The 26945-nt window shown below is 43.7% G+C and overlaps 1 protein-coding gene across 10 annotated transcripts in view, besides 4 other annotated features; it reads right to left on the bottom strand.

Annotated features, from left to right (window-relative positions):
- The window catches only part of AMBRA1 (autophagy and beclin 1 regulator 1), a 197612-nt gene that overhangs the window by 120591 nt on the left and 50076 nt on the right, over window positions 1-26945 (bottom strand). For 6 of the 10 annotated variants that reach the window (NR_160027.1, NM_017749.3, NM_001367470.1 and 3 more), the window contains exons 7-8: window positions 26250-26396; window positions 24943-25979 (exon numbers count right to left, since the gene is read on the bottom strand). Coding sequence is in view for 9 of the 10 variants with exons in the window: in NM_017749.3 (NP_060219.2) it covers window positions 24943-25979; window positions 26250-26396 (1184 nt within the window). In the remaining variant the exon portion in view is untranslated. Of the gene's footprint in view, window positions 1-1145; window positions 1425-24942; window positions 26397-26945 lie in introns of all 10 variants that reach the window. The other 4 variants (NM_001300731.2, NM_001387011.1, NM_001367468.1 and 1 more) reach the window with 2 other exon arrangements.
- Window positions 12390-12569: a silencer, noted in NCBI's record as "silent region_3313". NCBI's record gives its function as "represses an Ori minimal core promoter by ATAC-STARR-seq in GM12878 lymphoblastoid cells {active_cell/tissue: GM12878}" and the evidence as "EXISTENCE:reporter gene assay evidence [ECO:0000049][PMID:35858748]".
- Window positions 20623-21126: an enhancer, noted in NCBI's record as "OCT4-NANOG-H3K27ac hESC enhancer chr11:46559175-46559678 (GRCh37/hg19 assembly coordinates)". NCBI's record gives its function as "activates a minimal SCP1, AML or CMV promoter by ChIP-STARR-seq in naive H9 embryonic stem cells {active_cell/tissue: H9 hESC(naive)}" and the evidence as "EXISTENCE:reporter gene assay evidence [ECO:0000049][PMID:30033119]".
- Window positions 21127-21632: an enhancer, noted in NCBI's record as "OCT4-NANOG-H3K27ac-H3K4me1 hESC enhancer chr11:46559679-46560184 (GRCh37/hg19 assembly coordinates)". NCBI's record gives its function as "activates a minimal SCP1, AML or CMV promoter by ChIP-STARR-seq in naive H9 embryonic stem cells {active_cell/tissue: H9 hESC(naive)}" and the evidence as "EXISTENCE:reporter gene assay evidence [ECO:0000049][PMID:30033119]".
- Window positions 24957-25251: a silencer, noted in NCBI's record as "tiled region #9650; K562 Repressive non-DNase unmatched - State 5:Enh". NCBI's record gives its function as "represses a minimal TATA promoter and a strong SV40 promoter by Sharpr-MPRA in K562 cells {active_cell/tissue: K562}" and the evidence as "EXISTENCE:reporter gene assay evidence [ECO:0000049][PMID:27701403]".

Here is a 26945-nt window from a genome sequence, read left to right on the forward strand (position 1 = left end):
TGCCTGGTTCATTTTATACACCACTGGTGTCCAAGTGAGGTATACGAGGGGTTGTGCTATTTGATCCATTGGACAGCAAGGGGGAAATATTACAACTTCTGCTATATAATATATAATCATAACACACATGGATTACTCAAAAGCTTTTTTTTTTTTTTTTTTTGAGATGGAGTTTCCCTCTTTTGCCCAGGCTGGAGTGCAATGGTGCAATCTCGGCTCACTGCAACCTCCGCCTCCCGGGTTCAAGTGATTCTCTTGCCTCAGCCTCCCAAGTAGCTGGGATTACAGGCGTCCACCACCACACCCAGCTGATTTTTGTATTTTTAGTAAAAACAGGGTTGCACCATGTTGGCTGGAGCTGGTCTCAATCTTCTGACCTCAGGTGATCCACCCGCCTCGGCCTCCCAAAGTGCTAGGATTACAGGCGTAAGCCACCGCGCCCGGCTAGAAAGCATTTTATTAATAAGGTTTTTTTTTTTTTTTTTTTTTTTTTTTAAGTCTGAAGGCCACTGCTCTATCAAACTATATATTACTTTAACAATACTAAACAGGCCGGGTGCAGTGGCTCACGCCTGTAATCCCAGCACTTTGGGAGGCTGAGGCAGGTGGATCACGAGGTCAGGAGATCGAGACCATCCTGGCTAACATGGTGAAACCATGTCTCTACTAAAAATACAAAAAATTAGCCGGGCCTGGTGGCACACGCCTGTCCCAGCTACTTGGGAGGCTGAGGCAGGAGAATCGCTTGAACCCGGGAGGCAGAGGTTGCAGTGAGCCAAGATCGCGCCACTGCACTCCAGCCTGGGCAACAGGGACAGACTCTGTCTCAAAAAAAAAAAAAAAAAAATGCCAAATACTTAAAGAATAGGATAAGCTTAAATATAAAAAACTATAAGCATATAAAAGTATACCCATATTCGTATATATATAGAGAGAGAGAGAACAAAAGAAGATAATAAAGCCAATGTGGCAAAATGTTAACATTTAGGGAATGTGGGTAAAGGGTATATGGGAATCCTCTATACGTTTTCTGCAAGTTTGAAATTATTTCAAAATGAAAAACAAAAACATACAACACACAAAAATCTTAAAGTAAAATACTGAAAAGAAAGAGATAGCCATTTGTTTTCAGAAGAATTACTCACGGCCAGGCGCGGTGGCTCACGCCTGTAATCCCAGCACTTTGGGAGGCCGAGGTGGGCAGATCACCTGAGGTCAGGAGTTCGAGACCAGCCTGGCTAACATGGTGAAACTCCATCTCTACTAAAAATGCAAAAATTAGCCGGGCGTGGTGGTGGGCTCCCGTAGTCCCAGCTACTTGGGAAGCTGAGGCAGGAGAATGGCATGAACCTGGGAGGCGGAGCTTGCAGTGAGCCAAGATAGCGCCGCTGTACTCCAGCCTAGGTGACAGAGCAAGACTCCGTCTCAAAAAAAAAAAAAAAAAAAAAAAAAGAATTACTCACTTTGTAAAAAGATTTCTTAGAATAGCAACTTGCCCTAATGCTCTACAGCAGGTTTGGTAAACTACAGGCCCCAGGTCAGCTGTCTTCTTTTGTAAATAAGTGGCTACTTTGGAGCTGGCAAGGCAGAACTGAGGAATCCTGATAGAGACAAAGCCTAAAATACCTACTGCCTAGCCCTTTACAGAAGATGTTCGCCCATTTCTGCTCTAAAACATTTGCTTACATAGAATTCTTTAAATTACTAAGGGACAGAACAAAAAAGAACTTGAAATTAAAGTATTGTGCACTGGAAAAAAAACATCAAAAATGAATATTAAGCTCTGCTAAAATCATAATAGGCATATAATTCAAACTGTGAAATCCTGAACATTTTTAAAAGAATACAACTATTTTTTCTTTCCCTGATTAATATTCTGAGTTATGTGCAAAGAAGTTCCCTGTATCAGCTGTATTCTTGATCACTAGGAATACAATTTTTAAAATAGTCAAAGAAAGCTCTGGAAAAGAAAAAAAGTGGTCGGAGCAGATCAACTGAAAGAAAAGAACCTTCACTTCATTATTTTATTTTATTTCATTTTTTGAGACAGAGTTTCTGTCACCCAGGCTGGAGTACAGTGGCGCGATCTTGGCTAACTGCAACTTCTGCTTCCTGTGCTTAAGCAATTCTCTTGCCTCAGCCTCCCGAGTAGCTGGGGCTACAGGCATGCACCACCAAGCCTGGCTAATTTTTGTATTTTTAGTAGAGACGGGATTTCACCATGTTGTCCAGGCTGGTCTTGATCTCCTGGCCTCATATAATCCACCCACTTTGGCCTCCCAACATGCTGGGATTACAGGCATGCGCCACCATGCCCGGCCCCTTCACTTCAAATTCAATAGATATCAGAGTTGAGGTGCAGAAAGTCTGGGTACTAGTCCATATGGAATAAACAAACCGTGGACAACTCCTCCTTACTAAAAAATTATAACCTGAAGATACTCTTTTAACTGGTTGTCAGATCACAGAGAAAAATCAATATCCTAAAGCAAACAAACATGTTTGGACTTTCTCCAACCACTGGAAACAATCAATTGCTAGAACTCTCTGGCCTCTACTGTTAGGGAATGCTGGCTCCCAGAAGGTAAGGTGCCACTGGTGCCCCATGCCTAATGAATAACTTTACAGCCTAGCTTTGATGTCTGGATGGCAACCGCTATTTCCATCCGGGAGCACCAAACCCAAATTAACAGCTTCCTTCTGCCTAGGAAATAAAATCCAGATTCCTCAGCAGGGCATTTGGTATTCAAGCTTTGCAGCCAAATTTCTCATTCCTTTTGGATATACTATATGCTCTAGTCCAGTGGTTTACAAACTTTTTGCTCCCAGGACTCCTTTAACACTCTTAAAAATTATGAGGATCCCGGTGGCTCACGCCTGTAATCCCAGCACTTTGGGAGGCCAAGGTGGGCGGATCACCTGAGGTTGGGAGTTCAAGACCTGCCTGACCAACATGGAGAAACCCCGTCTCTACTAAAAATAAAAAATTAGCCAGGCATGGTGGCGCATGCCTGTAATCCCAGCTACTCAGGTGGCTGAGGCAGGAGAATCGCTTGAACCCAGGAGGCAGAGGTTGCAGTGACCCAAGATGGCGCCATTGCACTCCAGCCTGGGCAACAAGAGTGAAACTCCGCCTCGAAAAAAAAAAAAAAAAAATTACGAGGCTCCTAAAGAGATTTCATTTGTATGGGTTTCCACTATCAATATTTAATTTCAATTTATTGAAATTAAAACTGAAAAAATTTTAATACACAAGCACACATTCAATTAGCCATCAGGATGATAGCCTCATTACATGTCATGGAGCCTCTAGCAAACACTGTATACTTGTGAAAGAATGAGAGTGAAAAACACAAAGGATGTCTCAGCATTATTATAAAAATAGTTTTGACTTTGGGGATCCATTGTTCTAGCTAAACTAAACACACCCTCACTATCCCACCTACGTTATTTATCTTGGCAATTTCTTCTTTCTGGAAAGTTCCTCTTCCTTATTACTGTCTGTAAAAAGCCTTCAAAGCTCAAATACCTGACTCCTCCAGCCAGAAGTTCACCCTCTCTTCCCCAGTGCCCCACAGCATTTTGTTTTTCTTTTCTTTTTTTTTTTTTTTGAGACGGAGTCTCGCTCTGTCACCAAGGCTGGAGTGCAGTGGCGTGGTATCGGCTCACTGCAAGCTCTGCCTCCCGGGTTCACGCCATTCTCCTGCCTCAGCCTCCCGAGTAGCTGGGACTACAGGCGCCCACCACCAAGCCCGGCTAATTTTTTGTATTTTTTTTTTTTTTTAGTAGAGACGGGGTTTCACTGTGTTAGCCAGGATGGTCTCGATTTCCTGACCTCGTGATCCGCCCGCCTCGGCCTCCCAAAGTGTTGGGATTACAGGCGTGAGCCACCGCGCCCGGCCCCTATAGCATTTTGTACCTCTCTTAAGAGGCCTTCTCAAGTCACCCAGTAACTTATGTCTTGTCTTTGCTACATGAAAACAGGTACTGGATCCAAGTCATCTTTTTATCCCCATCAAAACTCACATCCTAATTAACATGTAATAGGAAACCAACAAATATTTAAGTGATGAATCAGCAGCCTAACCAGACTTGGAAGAATAAGCAAGAAGACCTATCTGGTTGCCCCTCACTGGCGACAAGACTCTCAGACAAGGTTGCTAGATGCCCAAAACCTCACACTAAAACTCCTGAAGGAACAAGGTTTTCAGAAACTGCTTACATCACCTTCATCCCCTCTGGTCACTTATGCTGCTCAGGTTAAAGTGCTGACATAGTTGTCCTGATAAATGCAGTGCAGTCTGGTCCCTGGGAGGCTCATTAAATCAAAAAGCCAGAGGCTGGCTACTTGCCTGGGAAACTACCACTGATGCTCCTGGACTGTAAATTGCCAAAAGAGACCCCCACAGGGGAAAGAGGGCAATGTTTGCCAGGGGATGAAGGGGCAGGAGGCCAAATAAACTTGAACGCACTGTGGCTTTCTTCATTTCTGAATCTTACTCTGCAACTCCCCGATCTCTGCCTTGGCGCATGCCTGGGCTGGGAGATGACAAGCCCTTATTCTTTGTAAAAAATAATTGTGTGTTCTGAAACGACACCTCTATTATGATTTCCAAATTGACATCTCTGCTCTAATGCAGAGGCATCCAAGCCTCCCCATTTCACACACTAGCAATTATCGTTTAAGTTATCCAACGATAGGCATTCATCTGATCGCTGCAGGGCCCCCTAGTTTGAGGGGTGCACTTAAAGCATGTGATGCAGTTGCCAGCAGAGACTGGCAGGCAATTCCTGCCCCTGATGTGAGGTGGGCCAAGGCAAGGTACCACTGCTAAAATGCTAGTAACCTCAGGAAAAAAATAGACATACTACAAAAAGACACCACAGTGCCTACAGTGTAGATCAGCCTTATTTTACTATTATCAAATATAAACAATTCACAGAGTGCAAAATAATGCTTTTCACCAGAAACGCTTAAAAACATCTTTACAAAACATTAATGTATTCCTCAGTGCCTCTGGGCAGTGAGCGATAGATGGCAAAACATGAGAGCACAACATAATCGCAGACAGCAAAAGGGAAGAGGCTAGAAACAGAATGTATACATAGTGTGCAATCATGTATCTAGCATTACAAAAGTCTCGTCTGAGAAGTCAGCCAGTTCCCCCTGGGAACATATGACCCTCTGCTAACTGTCTGGTGGGTAGTTATTTTTAATACATGGGTAGTTATTTTTAATACATTTGTAAGATGACTGGTTGGCACTATGCTTAGCTCCTATATACCCTCAACACATTACACTATAGTTGTAAGACTTGAATGTATAATAAAAACTCACTTTAGTTAGCAAGTAAACTCAAAGGCCCAAGCCAATCTACATGGACATCTTTACTTAGTATCCAAATCCATTTCCCTGGGAGACTTGGGAGGTCTGCTCACAGACCACAGACTTTTTTTTTAACCCAGAATTTACCATCAGAGGCTTTTCACCAGAGGATGAGTAAGACCAAATCTATGGGAAAAAAAAAGGTCCACAGCTAGTTTTGATGCCACATGCACACATGCCCCCTACATGCAACAGGTGGGATATATAGGGTTTAGAATTTAAGAGGCAGTGTATCCTAATTCACTGATTTCCCCCTGGAATTTATTGAATTCCATAATGTTGAATTCTTAGCTAATTTTATTCAGAAGCACAGATATATCCTTAAAAGTCTACCTCCAGGCCAACTAAGTCTACGAAGAATATCCTGGTAGAATCATTTATTGCTGTGATACTAGTAAGCCTGTGAAGGTCTTAAAAAACATTTTTTCACATCCACATTTCTGACCTGAAACTTTAAAAACCCTTGACCAAGGCCATTCATTAAGAAGTGACAGGTCCTTCACCCTGGTATACTGCAAACACTATATAATAGGAAGTAAAATCTTAGGACGAATATCAGAAAGGCAAAGCGAGTTAGTACGTGAAGCCTCAAGAGAATGAGGGAAAAGCAAAGCACAGTGTGCTGGGGTGTTTATTAACCAGAGGCAAGGAGGCCAATTTCCCAGCTCATATCTGTCCATGGAATGAGGTTTCTAGAATCTGCAGAAATATGAGGGCAGAGACTACAGCTGGGACCCCAAACAATCCACTGTTAGCCCTTGAGCTAACACAAAGCTCAGAGTACAATCACTTTTCTTATATCCAAGGTTCATTCTGAACTGCTTCTCTTAGTGACATTTGATTTCACTGATTCGCCTCTGGGGATGTACTACTTGCCCTTTCACCCTGATCTTGACTTCAGCAACCACCCTGATTCCTTTTGGACTCAACATTTGACTCTACTGAAATAATTTCTCCACCATTTCCCTCTGTCTAGACAACATGAAATTGTCATAAACGACACCTAAAGTACAATTAGTAGAGAAACTGCAATTTCCACTCTCCTCCCCCGTTCCCAAAAAGATTCGCACATTAACGTCCTCCAGCATGTCAATCAATACTACCCTGAGGAGGATTAACTCTGTAGAGTCTGGAAGCCATTCAATTCCCTGCTTGCTAAAAATTATGCATTTTCCCCCTGTACTATAATCAGAAGATGTAAATTGCCTTCTTTTTATTAGCACTAATGGCTATAATCTCAGAGTTCTGAATGCCTGCTAAATCGATACCTGTGTAAAAAGTCCCACAAACACCGCTTTACCCAGATGCGCTTTATTTAGAAAAATCAGAGACAAAAGACAAAAGATAAGACAGAAGAGGAGAGAAGCAATGAGAGAAAGGCGTGACACAAGACCACCAGAACCAGGCAGTACTATTAACTATCATAAGAAGATGGTTTGAACCCACTGACAGTTCCTTGTGAGATGTCATAGTTTTATTCATTTATTTATTTATTTTGAGATAGAGTTTCGCTCTTGTTGCCCAGGCTGGAGTGCAATGGCATGATCTAGGCTCACCGCAACCTTCACCTCCTGGGTTCAAGCAATTCTCCTGCCTCAGCGTCCCACGTAGCTGGGATTACAGGGATGCACCACCATGCCCAGCTAATTTTGTATTTTTAGTAGAGACAGGGTTTCACTATGCTGGCCAGGCTGGTCTCGAACTCCTGACCTCGGGTGATCCGCCCACCTCGGCCTCCCAAAGTGCTGGGATTACAGGTGTGAGCCACCGCACCCGGCCTAATGTCATATTTTTAAAAACCAGCAAGATCAAAGGACAACAAATCATGAAATAATTTACCAGTGCTTTTCAAGGGGAGTGGAATGCCCCCCAGAAATGTGGCAATGTCTGCTGACATTTTTGGTTTTTGCTTCTGGGTGCCAGAGCACCACCAGTATGTGACAGGTGAAGGCCAGGAATGGTGCCAAACATCCTACAATGCACAGGACAGCCTCCCATGGTGAGGAATTATCCAGCCCCAAATGTCAATAGTGCTGCTGTTATAAAACCTTTTGATATATCTTAATGGTCTGAGACTAACCAAGAAAACTCTGAGTAACTAAAATATGAGGCAATTTAGTGTTTGAGCCTTAGAATCAGACAGACTGCAGTTTAAATTCCATCTTGTGTCACCCACTGGCTGTGAGACCTTGGGCAAGTTCATTATCCTCTGCTTCCACATTTGAGGGGAAATCTCTTATTTCACATGGTTATTATGATTAAGAACCTGTGTCAAGCACAGTAGCCAGTACAGTCTAATAAACAGCCATTACTATTTTTTTCTTCCTTAGATTACAGCTCCCAAAATATCTGCAGGGAATATGATGCCCTCTGTCCACTCAAGTCACTATGCCTAAAAAGGTACTTTGTCAGAAAGAAAGACATGTTGAAGAAGGGTGAATACTATAAAGGTATAAACAGGGGTACCTGAGCCGTGAGAATCACATGCACCCCATCCACGTAAACCAACAAGAACAGTCAGGTATCCATCTACCAATCTATGTGTTGGTCCATCCAACCGGTGATTCAAACAAATACTGAGTGCCTTCTGTTAGTTATATATATCAGTACTATATAAAATACAGATGTGGGCTGGGCATGATGTCTCATGCCTGTAATCCCAGCACTTTGGGAGGCTGAGGCAAGAGGATACCTTGAGCCCAGGAGTTCGAGACCAGCTCGGGCAACCATAGGGAGACCTCATCTCTACAAGAAATTTAAAAATTATCTGGGCATGGTGGCACATGCCTATAGTCTCAGCTACTTGGGAGGCTGAGGCAAGAGGATTCCTTGGGCCATGGACGTTGAGGCTGCAGTGAGCTGAGATCATACCACTGCATTCCAGCCTGGGCAACCGATTGAAACCCTGTTTCAAAAATAAATAAATAAATAGGCCAGGCGCGGTGGCTCACACCACACTTTGGGAGGTCAAGGCGGGTGGATCACCTGAGGTCAGGAGTTCAAGACCAGCTTAGCCATGGCCAAAGTGGCAAAACCCTGTCTCTACTAAAAATACAAAAACTTAGATGTGTCAAGTCTGGGCGCGGTGGCTCATGCCTGTAATCCCAGTACTTCGGAAGGCCAAGGCAGGTAGATCAAGATCACTTGAGGTCAGGAGTTCGAGACCAGCCTGACCAACACGGTGAAACCCTGTCCCTATTAAAAATACAAAAATTAGCTGGGAGTGGTAGCACGTGCCTGTAGTCCCAGCTACTCTGGTGGCTGAGGCAGAAGAATCATTTGAATCCGGGAGGCGGAAGTTGCAGTGACCCGAGATCGTGCCACTGCACTCCAGCCTGGGCAACAGAGCAAGACTCCGTCTCAAAAAAAAAAAAATTAGCCAGCATGGTGGCAGGTGCCTATAATCCCAGCTACTTGTGAGGCTGAGGCAGGAGAACTGCTTGAACCCAGAAGATGGAGGTTGCAGTGAGCAGAGATCACGCCATTGCACTCCAGCCTGGGTGACAGAGCGAGACTCTGTCTCAAAAAAGAAATAGGCTAGGTGCGGTGGCTCACACCTGTAATTTCAGCACTTTGGGAGGTCAAGGCGGACAGATCACCTGAGGTCGGGAGTTCAAGACCAGCCTGACCAACATGGAGAAACCCCATCTCTACTAAAAATACAAAATTAGCCAGGCAGGGTGGAATATGCCTGTAATCCCAGCTACTCCAGAGGCTGAGGCAGGAGAATCACTTGAACCTGGGAGGCAGAGGTTGTGGTGACCTGAGATCGCATTGTTTGCACTCCAGTCTGGGCAACAAGAGCGAAACATCGGCTCAAAAATAAATAAAAAACAATAATAATAAATAAAATAAAATAAAATAGATATGGCCCTTAGAGTAGTCAATCTCCAAAGATGGCTCCAAAGAAATATCCTCTTGGTATTCTCACCCTTGTGTGGTCCCCTCCCACACTGAATCTAGACTGCTCTATCACTAGCTTTAATCAAGAGAATGCAGCAAGCTGTGCCAATTCTGGGCCTACCGTTTTAAGAGAACTGGCAGGCTTCTGTTTCCTTCCTTTTAGAACTGTCACTTTTGGAAACCTTAAGCTGCTATGTAAGAAGTCTGCTATCCCTGTCATCTATATAACAAGAAATATAAAAAAAAAATTAAAATTAAAAAAAAAAAAAAAAGCCTGGCTACTCTCTCAAGAGGCCATGTGGAGAGAAGAGCCCCTGAGTCTACATGACAAGGGAGAGAGACCCAGTTTATTCTAACTGGGCCTCCAGATGACTCTAGAGAAAACCCAAGGAAGATCAGCAGAAGAACTTTCCAACTGAGCCCAGTCTACACCCCACACACACAAAAAAAAACCATGAAAAATAACTGAATCGGTTTTAAGTCACTAAGTTTTGGAGTATGGTTTCTTATACACCAATATGTGAACAAAGTAGTTCCTTATCTTTGTAAAACTTTCAAGCTAGGCACAACAGCAACATTAGAACTAAGTCCATGAGGTTAGTTTACAGCCAAAATCACATCTCTTCTCAAAGGAACCTTGGCTACTAAAAACAAAAAAGGCATTTGAAAACAGATCATAATAAAGCAAGTGTAAACTTGCTCACTGTTTGTAAAGCATAAGGCCCCTGTATTAGTCAGAAGGGTCAATGTTCATTTAGAAAGACTTGCACTCTCTCCTATCTCAAGGCTCTCCATCTTTCTGAAACACATTTCAGCCCTGGGTGGCTCCCTTTCAATGTAGAAAATGGTCCTAGAATTTGAGAAATTAAGGCTATTTGTGCTACCTCCCTTATCAAAGAAGTAGGAGGCCAGCAGCAGTTGCTCACTCCTGTAATCCCTGCATTTTGGGAAGTCAAGGCGGGAGGATCACTGGAAGCCAGGAGTTCGAGACCAGCCTAGGTAACACAGCAAGACCCCATCTCTACTAAAAATACAAAAATTAGCCAGGCATGGTGGCATGCACCTGTAATCCCAACTACTTGGGAAGCTGAAGCAGGAGAATTGCTTGAACCCAGGAGGTGGAGGTTACAGTGAGCCGAGATCATGCCACTGTATTCCAGCCTAGGTGACAAAGTGAGACTGTCTCAAAAAAAAAAAAAAAAAAAAAAAAAAAGGCAACCTATGGAATGGGAGAAAATATTTGCTAACCATATATCAGATAAATGTTTAATGTCCATAATATATGGGGAACTCCTACAACTCAATAACCAAAAAACCCCACAAATAACCATACTAAACAATGGGCCAAAGACTTGCATGCACATTTCTCTAATAATGATATACAAATGGTCAACAAGCATATAAGAAGATGCTGAACATGACTAATCATTAGGGAAATGCAAAGCAAAACCACATTTATTTATCGCCTCACACCTGTTAGGATGACCACTATAAAAAGAAAAAAAAAACAGGAAATAACAAGTGCTGACAAGGATATGAAGTTGGAACCCTCATGCACTGTTGGTAGGATTGTAAAATGGTTCAGCTGCTATGGAAAACAGTATGGAGGTTCCTCAAACAATTAAAAATAGAACTACCATATGTCCAGCAATTCCACTTCTGGTTATGTATCTAAAAGAAATGAAAACAGGATCTTGAAGAGATATTTGCACACCCATGTTCATTGCAGCATTTTTCAAAATAGCCAAAATGTGGAACCAGCCTAAATGTCCATCAGTAGATGAATGGATAAAGAAAATGTGGTATATACATAGAATGGAATATTATTCAGCCTTTGAAAAGAAGGAAATTATGATACATACATACAACTTTTTCTTTTATTTATTTATTTATTTTTTGGAGATGGAGTGTCGCTTTGTCACCCAGGTTGGAGTGCAGTGGCACGATCCCGGCTCGCTGCAACCTCCACCTCCAGGTTCAAGCGATTCTCCTGCCTCAGCCTCCTGAGTAGCTGGGTTACAGGTGCCCACCACCGCACTCGGCTAAGTTTTGTATTTTTAGTACAAATGGAGTTTCACCATGTTGGCCAGGCTGGTCTCGAACACCTGACCTCAAGTGCTCTGCCTGCCTTGGACTCCCAAAGTGCTGGGATTACAGGCGTGAGCCACCGCGCCCAGCCACTGTGACATATTAATAGATGATCCTTAAGGACATTATGCTAAGTGAAATAACCCAACCACAAAAAGACAAATACTGCAAGATTCCATTAATAAGAGGTACCTAAAGTTATCAAACTCACAGAAACAGAAAGTAGAGTGGTGGCTGCCAGGGGCTTGTGGGAGGGTGAAAAGGAGTCATTCAAAGGATACAGAGTTTCAGTCACGCAAGATGAAGAGGTTCTAGAGATCTATTGAACAATAATGTGTACTGTACACTTTTAAAATTATTAAGAGGGTAAATCTATGTTATGTTTTCTATCACAGACACACGTACACGAAGATAAAAAGGGTTACATGTGCCAACAGAACAAAGAAAAGATAAACGCCACCTTGCTGAGGTGAAATGACCCAAGGGGACAGCAAGGAGACAAAGGCAGTAGAAGCTGGGCTACCTCTGTGTAGGGGAGGAAAAAAGCAGAAGAGGCAAAAAGAGTCACACGTACCCTCTGATGCAGCAAAGGAAAAGGGCACAATGTTAACAAGCTGCAATTCTCTTTCTATGACAAGGTCATACTTTCAGCCTCTGATTCCTTTATTATTACAATTTTCTACTCCTGCTCTAACTTGATTTTAATTTCCTGGCAAGTGACACCCAAGTCATGCAGGCTTTTCATTGGAACCCACCACTCTGTCCAAGGTGCTCTGCAAAAGGTGCAGGCATTCTTCTCCAAGATTTTACATAGTCCATTTACATAGTCCAAAAGAAGGTTGCTCTCATACTGCATAATCTGGCGTAATGGAGATCTGCTCACTAGTGAGCCTCATCCAGCAAATAAGCTTGGAACCTCCATTTTCCCCCTTTGGAAACAGAGGAGGAGTTTGTTAATTGTTGCTATTTAAAAATCAGGCAGCTTCTCAGGTGAGGGGGCTGTCAGCATGTCAGCCTACAGCAAGCAGGGGGAGCCCCTGTGGGTGAATTAGGCAGGATGGGTGGGGTGGTGGTGCGGGTACTGCAATGACCAGTGACTCCCCCTGGTGGAGCCAAGTGGTAGGGCACTTAGGAAATATTTACCCACACCTAACCATCAACACTTTTTGCTTGAGCTAATGCAATGGCCAAGTACACAAAATTGGATTTAAGTAGGAAACATGACATCAGCCTAGCATAGACTAAGGCATCAAGAAAGTCCATGCCTTGACGAAAGGGGCTGCTGTCCTACTCAATTCCTGCTGACTGTTAGGTGGGAATGTGAGCCTGTTTTTTCAACAGAATCCAGATACCCGAATTGATATGGAAAAAAAACATCCAAATTTTTAGAAACACTGTGAGGCAAACAAACATACTTGAGGACTATTTTGCAATATCTTGGTTAATGTAACAATAGGCCCACCCATGAAAGCAAAATTTGCTCACACAAACATGTTGTCAGGAATGCTTCCAAGAAAGAGCAGAAATAAGATGTACTGAATCCTGGGCCCACCCCCCAACCACTCAATAAATGTGTAAGAAATCCAGGAGGAGAGGATGCTACCTGCACAGTTCTAATGGGCTGGGACCAATTACAATAAGCAAAATATGTTATGCAAACAGAACCCCATACACCTGGTGTTACTGTCTTGGAAAAGCCTCCAAAGCACCCTTTAGAGCACTACTCTGAATAGATACAGTAGAGAAGGGGATCTGAAGGGGGAAGAATGAGTACACGGGAAATTACTCCCAACGTATTTGCAGCACACATACAGACGTCACTGTAGTCCCCAAGTGCTCCAAGACCCAGAGCTGACAGAAGCGATTACATCTTTTCATGTTTCAGGATGTATACAAAGCACACAGCACGCTCTACACCATTCAGCCCCAGAGAGAGGAATGATGAGGGATAATTTAGATCAGCCTAGTAGGTGCTAGCATGACCTGCACTGGGAGAAGGGCTGCCTGCCAAGCATACTGCCTGGAGGATCTGGAGGCTCATGCCCTCCCAACCAGGGCAAGCCTCCTCATTTGCACACGATTCCCAAGAAAGAAAGTGAGGCTGGAGAACCTTGCTTCAGGCCAGATAGTACAAGAAACAAATTCTTTATGCATTTATGCCTGCTCTTAACCATCAAAGAATCCCACAAGAGCCAATACTTACTTAGAGCATCTAGTCCAAACTAGAGAGAGAGCAAGTGCAGGAGTCCCCTAACAACCTCTTTGGGGCCCTCATTGTCATAATGCCTTCTATTACTCTAGCACCTGACTCTTCCAAATCACATTCCTATAAAGCAGGAGCTGGCAAACTATAACCTGCGGGCCAAAACCAGCTATGAATGGTTTTCATATTTTTAAATGATTGAAAAACATCAAAAGCATTTTTATGACTCGTGAAAATTATATGAAAATCAAATTTATCTCCATAAATAGTTTTTTTGGAACACAGCCACACTCTCATTCATTGATTCATTCATTTATTTGAGACGAATTCTCGCTCTGTAGCCCAGGCTGGAGTGCAGTGGCATGATTTCAGCTCACTGCAACTTCCACCTCCCAGATTCAAGGAACTCTCCTGCCTCAGCCTCCCAAGTAGTTGGGAAAACAGGTGCCTGCCACCATGTCAGCTAATTTTTGTATTTTTAGTGGAGATGTGGTTTTGACATGTTGGCCAGGCTGGTCTCCAACTCCTGACCTCAAGTGATCCACCTGCCTCGGCCTCCCAAAGTGCTGGGATTACAGGCATGAGCCACCACACCAGGCCCACACTCACTCATTTAGATATTGTTTGTGATTGCTTTCATACTACAACAGCAAAGTTGAGTAATTGCAACAGAGACTGTACAGCCTCCAAATCCTAAAATAATTTACTATCTTGACCTTTACAAAAAGCTTGCCAATGCCTGATATAGAGGGTAGGGCAGGGAACACACACAGAATTCAGAGGCTCAAACAGAGTGACCTTCTTGGGCAGGTGAGCAGCAAAGGTAAGAAAGATTAACAGAATGAGGCTGGGCGCGGTGGCTCACGCCTGTAATCCCAGCACTTTGGGAGGCCAAGGTGGGCGGATCATCTGAGGTCAGGAGTTCAAGACCAGCCCAGCCAATATGGCGAAACCCTGTCTCTACTAAAAATACAAAAATTAGCCAGGCCTGGTGGTGGGCACCTGTAATCCCAGCTACTTGGGAGGCTGAGGCAAGAGAATCACTTGAATTCGGGAGTTGGAGGTTGGAGTGAGCAGAGATCTGCCACTGCACTCCAGCCTGGGTGACAGAGCGAGACTCCATCTTAAAAAAAAAAGATTAACAGAATGATATCCCTCCTTCACTCTATCCTCATTCCCATATTGCCAAAGAGAAAATGGGTTGCCTAACCACCCCCAATGACGAATACATTCGATATCTAAATGTTACTGCCAGCTGGGAGAGGTGGCTCACGCCTGTAATCCCAATACTTTGGGAGGCCAAGGGCAGCGGATCACTTGAGGTTAGGAGTTCAAGACCGGCCTGGCCAACATGGTGAAACCCTGTCTCTACTGAAAATACAAAAAATTAGCCAGGCATGGTGGTGGGCGCCTGTAATCCCAGCTACTCAGGAGGCTGAGGCAGGAGAATCACTTGAACCTGGGAGGCGGAAGTTGCAGTGAGCTGAGATCGGGCCACTGCACTCTAGCCTGGGTGACAGAGCAAGACTATGTCTCAGAAATAAATTAATTAATTAATTAATATAAAATTACTTTCTTATGAAGAGGCAAGAGATGCCTGGATTTTTCCAATCACTTAATAAGACACAGAAGACTAAGTGGATGAAGGCCAGTATGTATGTGATTGTCAGAGATAGAACAGGGCTATGTTTTTCTCATACAAGGGTGTCAGAGAACAAATGTACACTAACACCTCAAGGTGGCAATTATTAGAATAAAACAAAAGTTTTTCTCAAAAACTTGAGGAGGAAGCTCCTGAAAACCCGTAGTAGGAGAATTTACTACTGATAAGCTTAAGAGCTTATGGGGGAAGAAAGGTTGAAGAGTTCTTTTGAGATGTTGTTTCTCTCTTTTGCCGAGGCTGGAGTGCAGTGGTGCGATCTCAGCTCACTGCAACCTCTGCCTCCCGGCTTCAAGCGATTCTCTTGCCTCAGCCTCCCAAATAGCTGGGACTACAGGCACCCACCACCATGCCCAGCTAATTTTTGTATTTTTAGCAGAGATGGGGTTTCACCATGTTGGCCAGGCTGGTCTCAAACTCCTGACCTTGTGATCCGCCCACCTTGGCCTTCCAAAGTGCTGGGATTACAGGCGTGAGCCACAGTGCCCGGCCTTAAGAGTTCTAATCTATGAAATCTATGAAATAATGTTCAGTTAAATAAAACAGGAAATAAGAAATACTTTATATATCTTACATTAGTAATAATGAGTAGCATACAATTAATTTTCATTTACCACTAACAACGCTCATACTCTTGGGCACTAGCAATTCCACTTCTAGAACTTCATCTTCTAAAAACACTTAAGTACACAAAGATCCTGCAACACTGTGAAAAAGAAAACAAAACATGGCCAACATGGTGAAACCCTGTCTCTACTAAAAATACAAAAATTAGCCAGGCCTGGTGGCACACACTTGTAATCCCAGCTACTCGGGAGGCTGAGGCACGAGAATCGCTTGAGCCCCAGAGGTGGAGGATGCAGTGAGCCAAGATTGCACCACTGCACTCCAGCCTGGGCTACAAAGCGAGACTCTGTCTCAAAAGAAAAAAAAAAAAGGAAAAGAATTAAAATAAATGGAAAAATGTGTTTTGATTAGCATAGAAAAAATTCTGGAGTTAACACACACACAAATTGTTAATAGCAGATCTCTGAGCAGTGGCTTTAAGAGGATATCCACTTTCTACAATTGTACATTTCTGTAATGTTTGATTTTTTACAAATGAATTGACAATAGTTTTGTAATTAGCAAAAAACAGGAATTTCATTTCCATTTATGATCTCTTGTTTACTATTAATTTTTCAAGCTCTCCCTTCCTCACAGTTCGATAACACGCCTTCTTGTTTGGAGGTTGGGGAAGAGTGGAGGGGCTTTGTTGCAGGTAATATGCCTGCTGAGATGATTGATTCATTCATTTGTTCAACCGTTCATCAGCTCTTCACCCAAACATTTAAGGCCTCTCTTATCTTGACAGAACAAGTCACTCCTCCTTTTTGGTTCTCAACACAGTCTCAAGACACAAATCAATCTAAAAGTGTGCAGAGTTGGCCTAGCTTTAATTTACGCTACTTAGCTCCTAGGTCTATTCTCAACCAGCAGCCACAGTTATCTTTTTAAAATATAAGATCATGCTACTCCACTTCTGATGGTTTCCCAAGTCACTCAAAGGAAAAGGCAAAAATCTTTTAAATGGCTTAGAAGACCCTGCATAATCTCATCCTTGTCACCTCTCCAACTTCATCTTCTATCACTCCATCCCTTGCTGTGCTCCAGCTGCACTGGCTGACGGTGCCAAGCATCTCAGAGATTTTGCATTCGCCCTTTCCTCTGTCTAAAATGTCCTTCCCCTAGTGTCGACGGGGTTTGTTTTCGCACTTCTTTAAGGTCTCCTCTGCTCCAGTGTAACCTTATCAAACCTTTTTTGATGATCCTATTTCAAATTGCAGCATCCCCTACATTTTTTATACATTTCTCTTTTTTGCCATAGAACTTATCACTGTCTGGCATACTAGATATCTTATTTTTTTATTGTCTTTCTCCCATTAGAATGAGAGAATTATTGCTGGCATTTAAATAGCACCTGGTGCCAGCCAGGTGCGGTGGCTCAGGCCTATAATCCCAGAACTTTGGGAGGCCGAGGCGGGCGGAGCACCAGAGGTCAGGAGTTCAAGACCAGTCCGGCCAACATGGTGAAACCCCGTCTTTACTAAAAATACAGAAAAGTTAGCCAGGCGTGGTGGCAGGCGCCTGTAATCCCAGCTAGTTGAGAGGCTGAGGCAAAAGAATCACTTGAACCCGGGAGGCGGAGGTTACAGTGAGCCCAGATCGCACCATTGCACTCCAGCCTGGGCAAGAAGAGCGAAACTCCATCTCAAAATAAAGTAAAATAAATAGCACCTGAAATCCAGCAGGTGCTTGGTAAATATCTGTTAATGGAATGAGTGAATGGATGGATGCATGGATCAATCACAGTTTACAAGCCCAACTCTCAGCGTTATTAGGAAGAACCAAACTCATCCAGGAAGCAGTCCTTGTGCATACTCCTCAGTTCCCTCTTCCTTTTTCTGAGAGACAGGGTCTCCACTCTGTTGCCCAGGCTGCAGTGCAGAGGCGCAATCATGGCTCACTGCAGCCTCAACCTTCTGAGCTCAAGCGATCCTCCCACCTCAGCCCCACGAGTAGCTGGGACTACAGGCACATGCCACGATGCCCAGCTAATTTTTGAGCTTTTTGTAGAGATAGGGTTTCACCATGTTGCCCAGGCTGGTCGCAAATTCCTGAGCTCAAACCATCTGCCCAACTTGGCTTCTCAGAGTGCTGGGATTACAGGCATGAGCCACCACACCCAGCCCTCAGTACCCTATTCTAAAGCCTGAGTTTACCTTCCCCAGCTTCCCTTCCCTTACATCTCTTAAAATAAGTTTGTTAATTCCACCACAGGCTTTGTCTCCTTTTTATTTCCCAATACTTGTTCCTCTCTCTTCCTAGAAAGAACACGTCATAATTTGCCTGTATCACAAATGAAATTCTCACAGTTGAGGATTCTTTCCTATTTGTCCTTAAATGCCGAACTTCTAACTAAGAAGAACTCAGAAGTTAGAAAGCGTTTACTGTATAGTATCTTGAATACCAAAGACAACAATTCCACCAGTTTTTTTCAGGGGGAACTATTCACACTCCGCATAATTAGAGGTAAAGCAAAACTTTCTGCTAACTAACATAAGGATTCTGACCTCCACAAGAAAAAAGGGACCTACAAGCATCTCAAAACTTAACAAGGTTCACTCTCATGATGCTCAGACTCCAAAACAAAAGATGAGAGCACACATTTTCTCAAACCCTAAAAATCCTACTTCTAAGCAAATTTAATGAATGCCTTCCACAGAAACTTAAAGAAAAAGCATCAGTAGGAAAGAACCTTCGCATTTAAATTGGATTATCCACATGTAATTTTTGAACTAAATCAAGACCAAGTATACCTTCATAGAGATTGCAGAAGAATCTTTAAGGAGAAAAAAAATACCAACAGCACTGACTGGCAGAGATAATAATATTACTGAGGTGCCAAGCCAAAGACCTAATAATATTACTGAGATGCCAAGCCAAAGACCAACAAAATGGTGTCAAGAGCAAGCTGTATTCAATAGGAATGGGGTACCAAAAAGATAAAAAAAGGGAAGGCTGCATATGATGCCAGTGCTCTCGAGGAAGGCGCAGACCCTGAGTCATCAGTGTAAAGCCAATATGAAGGACACATATTGGCCAGGTGCAACAGACTTATTACAGGCTTCAGGACAACCCATTCACAAGTTAGGAACATAGCACACAGTGAAACATCAGAGGTCACCGGAGCTCAAGTTTTGGAAGGTGTGACTTCCTTGTACAACTCTAAGTAATACCGTTTCATTTATTTAACAAGTGATTATTGAGCCAATGACTCTCTGTAAGACCAAATGATGGGATATAGTAATAGGTTTTTTAATCTTTTTTACTAAAAAGGCCAAACAGGACTTATATTGCATATGAAACCATAAGGAACATAATTTCAATTCTACTTATTCAATTCAACTAACATTTACTGAGCATCTACTGTGTGGCCAGGTAGTATTCTAGGTAGACAAGGGATATATACAGACATGATCACTGCCTTCAGGGAGCTCACTGACGGAAAGGTAAACAAATAATTTTCTGTCATGGGTGCAATATCACAAAGAAGTATCTAGTACACATGCAACAAAGAAAAGGAAGTGATTACTTGGGACAGTCAGGGAAGGTTTCCCAAGGGACACGGTGACAGCTGTGCTGGGTTTTGAATAATAAATTGTGTATATTCCCCATCCAAAGAAACTGGGAGAGATTAGATATCGAAACTCTTTAGACTCAGCTAGATCAATGGCACAGAAAAACTACTAAATTTGGACCCCTTTCTATAGTAGTCAGGCTAAGAAGACTGCTACTTTCCTCATTTTTAGGTTGCCGGCCCCCTTTTGTGGACCTACAATCAGCCCCGCAGACACCCATTTATTTTCCTCCATCAATGTTTGGGCCGAGGCCTCCCTGGAGAATCCCCAAGTGACTGGAGCTGAGGGATCAAATAAGTGTGGTGGCCCACGAAGCCTCAAAGGGCTTCAGACTGTTCTAAGCTCCAAAGCAATTCCCCCATAAAAGTCTAAGAAACTTAGCAATCCAATGAGGGCTTCTAACTCTAACCTTGATGGCCACATTTCACACTAAGGCCGTCAATGTACTTCCCCAGTCTTCATCTATCATGAGAGAAAAAGACCTAAATTCTCAGAAGACGCTCAGTCTTACTAAATACTCCAGACCCAAGTCTTTAACTACCTAGAGACAGAATACAGAAACAATTAGTGCTTCTAGGAGGAGATTGAGACCAATTTTTATCTCTCTCAGTTGCTGGAATTTTAATAGTGAACATCCCTAACAGGGATCACTTTATTGGGATTAATCAATGTAGTTCTATGGGCAAATAACTAAAACAGCATTTCTCCTAGAAGCATTGTGTTAGTTACCATTCTACCCAAAAATAATAATTACAAATTATCTAACAGACCTCCAATTTCTTACAATAAGAGTTAACTGAAAAGTTCCCTCAGGCAATGACCTACATGAGCAACAGAGGTTTTGACAAAGAAAACTGCTGTTTGAAGGCACTTATTTCAAATGAAACGGAGGAAAGGGTGCCCTCTTCAGGGCCCAGGAGTTCAAACCCCACTTTTGCTTACAAACACCTCTTTAAGAAATCATTTACTCTCTCTGTTTTGTCATCAGAGAGAGACTAGACTACAAAAGTTCTAGGTTCCCTCCAGTTTTAACTTGCCATTGAAACCATTTTCTTTTTCCTAGTACCAGTTTTTAAAGGCCAAGGGCACCCTACCGCAAGGAGCCACAATACCCTGATCTTCTGCTGGATCCTGCACTCCCACACAGAGAAATCATTTCTTTGTAGTGAAGCAAAGGCCCACCACTCAAGTTGCAATGTAGCGTCAGACTATTATAAAAAGACAGTTTGCCCTCCACTGCCCACAGGCAAAAGGAGACAAACCGTGTACTGGTTATTACCACTTGGCAGCACACAGCTACACTGAAATACACACTGTATGCTTATCAATACCCTCACTATTTGCAAACACTATTAAATATCCCAGCAGCACCAAGGATCCAGACATCTCTCCTTTGCCTATCTTCTACTATAAGGCCAATGAACAAAACTTTCTCCTTTCAAGTACAATCACCTTTTATGAACTCCACTCACTCAGGAACAACAGTCATCTACAAAAACAGGCTTTGTTAAAAGAACCAACCTCGTACACAAACAGCAGGGACACCTTTTCTTCCCAGTCATCCTAACCTAGCAGCAGCAGCCCAACAGTGACACCTGCTGGAGAACTAGAAGCAAGGGTTGGCTCATCACCTAGAGACTTTCAGCCCCTTTAGAAGGCAGAGGAAGAGGCAGACCAGCACCTGTTTGTCTTAGTGATTTACATCAGAATGCAGCCATTCAAATGGTGGTCCTTCTTTAATGTGTACGCACTTATTTTACAACATACCTCATTTTTGAGACAGCTGTCAGCCCTTATGGTATACGACATCCTAGCTCATTTAAAAGTGATTCCATATAAATAATGTAACTACTGTATTAATATACTATCTTACAATGAGAACCCTGAGTTATTTGTATATTTTAAAAGAAAATGAGCATAAATATAAAATTGTTTACAGTGAGATGACCAGGGACTTCATTTTTATAATACACATTTTTAAATGGTTGAACTTTAAACCACAATGCATATATTTTTTGGCACCAGAAAAGAAAAAAATACTTAAACAAAAAATTATGGTACATCCTTAATAGTTTCTGGGTTTTTTTTTAGACGGAGTCTTGCTCTGTCGCCCAGGCTTGAGTGCAGTGGTGCAATCTCGGCTCACTGCAACCTCCGCCTCCCCGGGTCCAAGTGATTCTCCTGCCTCAGCCTCCCACGTAGCTAGGACTACAGGCATGCACCACCATGCCTGGCTAATTTTTTTTGTATTTTTAATAGAGACGCGGTTTTACCATGTTAGCCAGGCTGGTCTCGAACTCCTGACCTCAGGCAATCTGCCTGCTTCGGCCTCTCAAAGTGCTGGGATTACAGGCGTGAGCCACTGCACCTACCCAGTAGTTTCTGGGTTTTAAATAACCTACTTTATTAAGTGATTAATAATATTTTAGATGTATAATATCATAGCCATTAGTCACATGTGATTATTTAAATTACTTAAAAATTTAAAGATTACATTTATTTTCTCAGATCACAGTAGCAGCATTTCAAATGCTCAATAGCCATGTGTGGCCAGTGGCTACCATCTTACATAGCACAGATAGAGAACATTTCCATCAGTGTAAGAAGTTTTATTGGACAGCATTGCTCTAGAAAATCTAGTGGTTACAGACAAAATTATCTGATATCTAGGTGCCGGGAGCAGACGGAATATAGATTAAAGAAAGCCAGCCAAGCATTGATAACCTTTGAAGTCAGGTTATAGGTGTATGGAAGCTCAGTTATACTTTTCTCTTCGTTTTTATATATGTTTGAAGATTTCCATAATAAAATATTAAAAGAAAAAAAGTGGTTCACTTAAAAATGAAGTTATCGGCCAGGCGCAGTGGCTCACACCTGGAATCCCAGCACTTTGGGAGGCCAAGGTGGGCAGATCACCTGAGGTCGGGAGTTTGAGAGCAGCCTGATCAACATGGAGAAAATCCGTCTCTACTAAAAATACAAAATTAGCCAGGCGTGGTGGCGCATGCCTATAATACCAGCTACCCGGGAGGCTGAGGTAGGAGAATCACTTGAACCCAGGAGATGGAGGTTGTGGTGAGCCGAGATCACACTATTGCACTCTAGCCTGGGCAACAAGAGCGAAACTCCATCTCAAAAAAATAAAAATGTTATATTAAGGAAAATGCCATGAAGGGCAGCTTGCACAAATCTTTAGTCATGAAGACCAGAGTTCAAATTCTCACTCAGAGACCTATTATATGATCTTTCACAAGAAACTGACTTCCCTGAGCCTCACTTTCCTCAACTTTATAAAATGGAAAATTGAATACCTGACTTGCATAGAGTCGTTGTTGAAGGCAGAAGGAATTATTTCAAAGCAAGAACACAATACCTAACACATAGTAGGCCCTCAGTAACTGGTATCTCTTTTTTTCCTTTTTTCTTGAGATGGAGTCTTGCTCCATCACCCAGGCTGGAGTGCAGTGGCGTGATCTTGGCTCACCGCAACCTCCATCTCCTGGGTTCAAGCGATTCTCCTGCCTCAGCTTCCCAAGCAGATGGGACTACAGGCCTGCGCCACCAAGCCCGGCTAATTTTTGTATTTTTAGTAGAGATGGGGATTTACCATGTTGGCCAGGCTGGTCTCGAACTCCTGACCTTAAGTGGTCTGCCCGACTCAGCCTCCCAAAGTTCTTGGATGACAGGCGTGAGCCACCGTGCCCGGCAGTAACTGGTATCTCTAATTATCATCAAACAATAGAGTTTATTTAAACCACTCAGGAATTTCTCAGAATAGCACATGAAGAGGTACTACTAAAGCAGAATGGACAAAAGCTAACCAGAGCACACTGGTATTACGGAAACAGCAACTGCTTGGTTTCTTAGAGCAGTAACTGAAGACAGTCCTTTTACAGAGATCTTTAATAAACTTTTAAAGTGCCTACTACATGTCATGCCCTGTGTTGACTGCCTTCTCACCACTCTTGGCAAAGAGGAAGAACAGAGGCTCGGGCTCCTGATGAAGACCAGTATGCCAGGCACAATATTCCAAAACCAGGAATTGAGGAGCTGTTAATCCAGAACTGGTTTCAAGCATATGGGCAGAGTTAGCAACCTCTCTATTTTATTCATCTTTCACATCTAGTCAAGTCTCCCTCTGCTTCCTACCCAGGGCCCTTAGTAACTGCCTAAGAACCTACACATACCATACCCTTTCCTCCCTTAACATGTGCTGTTTCCCTAAAATAAAAAGGTCTTGCTCTCTCCAAATCCTATCCATCTTTCAAGACTTGATTTTGCAAAGCCTTCTTGGATGATACTTCCCTCTCTCTGAGACTACATCCAATCTCGGTACCATACAATGAAGCATTTGCTCATCTATACTTTTGAAAAATTTCGTTGTCTTGCCTCCACAATAACACTGTAGACTCAGGTGGGTAAAGACCATGTATTATACTTCTTTTGTATTTCCCACAGTGCCTAGCACAGTGTTAGAAAATTTGTAACCATTCAACTAATACTTATTGACTGAGTGACTGTCTAAAGCATCCTCCCAAAATAACAAGTACATTATGTGCATAATTCATATTCCCACCCTTGTTAGAAGCTTATGTCAGAGAAATTTCAGTTGCTTCGACAGAGGATGTAATGCAGCGCAATATGCTGTTTGGATCCAACAGGCATATTCTTGGAGTTGGTGATTATGCTAGCTTTGACCTTTACAAAATTACAGAAAGAAGTCCCTAATAAATCAAGATAGATGCGCACATAGCCATACATGGAACATATGGTGGGCGATCAACTACACCTACTCTGTTTCTCCCATGAAAGAGTTGGCTAGGATGCCAATCTGAGTATGGAGAGTCTTTCCTTCCATGAATTATTCTTCTTCTCCACCCCAAGGTGAAAGTCCACCTGGAAGGTCCATTCAGAGAATCTCAACTGAGCAATAGGCTGCCCAAAAACAAGTATCTCTGAAAAAATTGGAATTTTTCTTGACATACATATATATACATATATGTATTTTTTTTTCTTTTCCCTTTGTCAAACTGCAGTGTTCCAAAAGATAAGGATTAGGAAGTGAACTCAGTTGTCCAAAGCAATACAATCAGCGAAGAGCCAATATACTAATCTCTACCATGCAGGGTTCTCTTTTACTTATTCCTAGGCACTCTGGGACTACTACAATAAGTAGTCCTGCACATACAATGTCTCGACAAGGTCAAAAAGCAGGCAGAGAAAGTCAATGGTTCCATCTCCTCATGCCTCTCTAACCTAATCTACACTCTCCTTTCAAGGCTAAAGCCAGAACCTTGAGCTTAGCCGAAATAGAGCTAGCGCAGCCAACTGACTCATACTGCTAGGCCCTATCCTATCTCTGCCACCAGAGCAAGATTTTCCAAGAAAATGCAATGGCGAGATCAGAAGCAGATGCGTGGGTCCCAGACACTCCAGATACAGCCACAACATCTATAGGACTCAAGGAAATGATACAAGGAGAAAAGCAAGGGATGCAGAAGATAGGAAAGCGACTGCTTACCTCCTGAGTGAATCCTCCTCAGAGCTCTCCTCAGGCATATCCTGATGTAAGGCCTCCTGTGACACAGTTCCAGATCTGCTGGACTGGGTGTAAATTCTTTCCCAGTGGCCTGTCTCCTGGTTAAAGGCCACCCCCACAGTCCTCTCCTCCTGCGGACTAGCAGAGCTGCTCAACTCCAGCCTGCTGGAGCTGGGCGTTTGGCCCTCAGTCCGCTCGAGAGGTGGCAACTGGCTGCCACTTGATGGCACACTCTCAAAGGAGCTGGGGACCTGCCAAGAGGAACTAGCCTCGCCAGAGGAGTAGTTAGGTGTGGTTCTTTCCCAGCGCAGGGTATCGTTGTTGAAGGTCAGGAGATTGTGGCAAGCACGACAGCGATTCAGGTGGCCACGGGACAGGTTGGAGTTGTTCTCACTGCTGTGTGGGGTGGGCTGGTGGGAAGGGCCTGGCCTCTCAGATTCAATGTTATTGTTGAGCATTTCCTGGGCCTGTTGGGTCTGGGGAGCTTCCCCACTCAGGCTCTGATCCAGCTCCTGAAGCCGGTCATACTCCAGAAAGAAGCGTCTCAGGTCACACTGAAGCTCATGGCGAATGCTGCCCGAGTTGTTTTGGCTGGAGCCATTCCCTCCATCTGACTCAGTTGCCAACCCTGATGCCGGAAAACCCCTCCCTTCTGTGGCTGAAGTGTACACAGATGCCTGAGAGCCACCTTCCTGCTGTCTCAGCACAGACAGCAAACTCACCGAAGAGGCACTGGTTCTGGGCGGGGGCATGGATTCCGCCTCAGAGCGGGAGTTCAGACTGAGTACTGTCCGGGTCCACTCAGATCCTGTCAACCCAGGAGCTATTTCTCGGTGATACCTAGAAGGGTGGCTAGACAGAGGCCCTCCCAAAGAGCGGCGGGTAGGACCCAGACTGAGGTTGCGGAGCGTGTTGCCGGCAGTGCTGCTCTGGACTGTACTGAAGGCAGACGGCCGGTTCAGGAGGCCCTGGTCCTGCTGCGTTGACGAGGCCTGCTCCGGGGGATGGAAGGGCTCGGTCTGTACAAAAGAAAAGGAAGGGGTAGTAGCTCTGGCAGAAGCAGGGGGGACACTGTCCTGGTGTGGCAAGAGGGAAGGAACTCGAGTGCCAGAGCAGCGGCTGCAAAGGCACAGGATCCCAAGGTGCTGGCAGCACTCAGCTGTGGGGTAACTGACCCGCTGTCGGAGCCTGATGTAAGCGGAAGTCCTGGGGCGCTCCGTGGAGGGCTGAGGGGGAGGCGGTGGGGGTGAGGGGGTAGCAGAATCTTGCACTGTGCTTTGCTCTCCCACCTGGATGCCAGAAGAGCGGGAGGACAGCATGTGCAGGAAATTGTGGAGGAGAGGCGTCCGGCGAACTGGCTGTGATTGCAGGAGGGCACGCTGACGGTAGTGGGATAATTCTGTTCCATCTATGGGGATCTCTGGTTCGTCATCACCCTGCAACGTGGACCAGCATGGGGCAGGGGGTAGAGCAAGGCAGTTAGGTAGAACCTCCAAGTAAATCAAGAAAAACTAACCACTGACAATCATCCAAGGAAAACAATGTTCATAGGTAGGAAACAACTCTCTACCCCTGAAGCACTGACAACTGGCCTCAGATTCAAAATAATCACATGGTATTAAATTTTCCACTCCCAATTAGCAGCATATCTGAATGAGTGCAGCTGACAAACCAATTGTCTTACAAAAGACATCTCCCCATGACATGGAAGCAGTGAGGGGAAGCAAAATGTCAACCAGCCAGAGGCACATGAGTGACAAGCTATCCAACACTGTCTAGTGATGATAAGGGTTACTTCTAATGAGGCAATCACTGGAGGGTTTCAGAATCGACTCTCCTGTCAAGATTATGGCTATAACCCTGAATATACAGTCTGAAGCTAGCTTTAAATCTTGACTGGAAAGATAAGACTTGGGTATTGAGAATTAAAATCCAATATAATCAGAATTGGAATACTAGTTAAGAAAAGAACTCACAGTTTAGCT

The sequence above is a fragment of the Homo sapiens genome, chromosome 11 (genome assembly GCF_000001405.40).
Source record: "Homo sapiens chromosome 11, GRCh38.p14 Primary Assembly".
Lineage (NCBI taxonomy): Eukaryota > Metazoa > Chordata > Mammalia > Primates > Hominidae > Homo > Homo sapiens.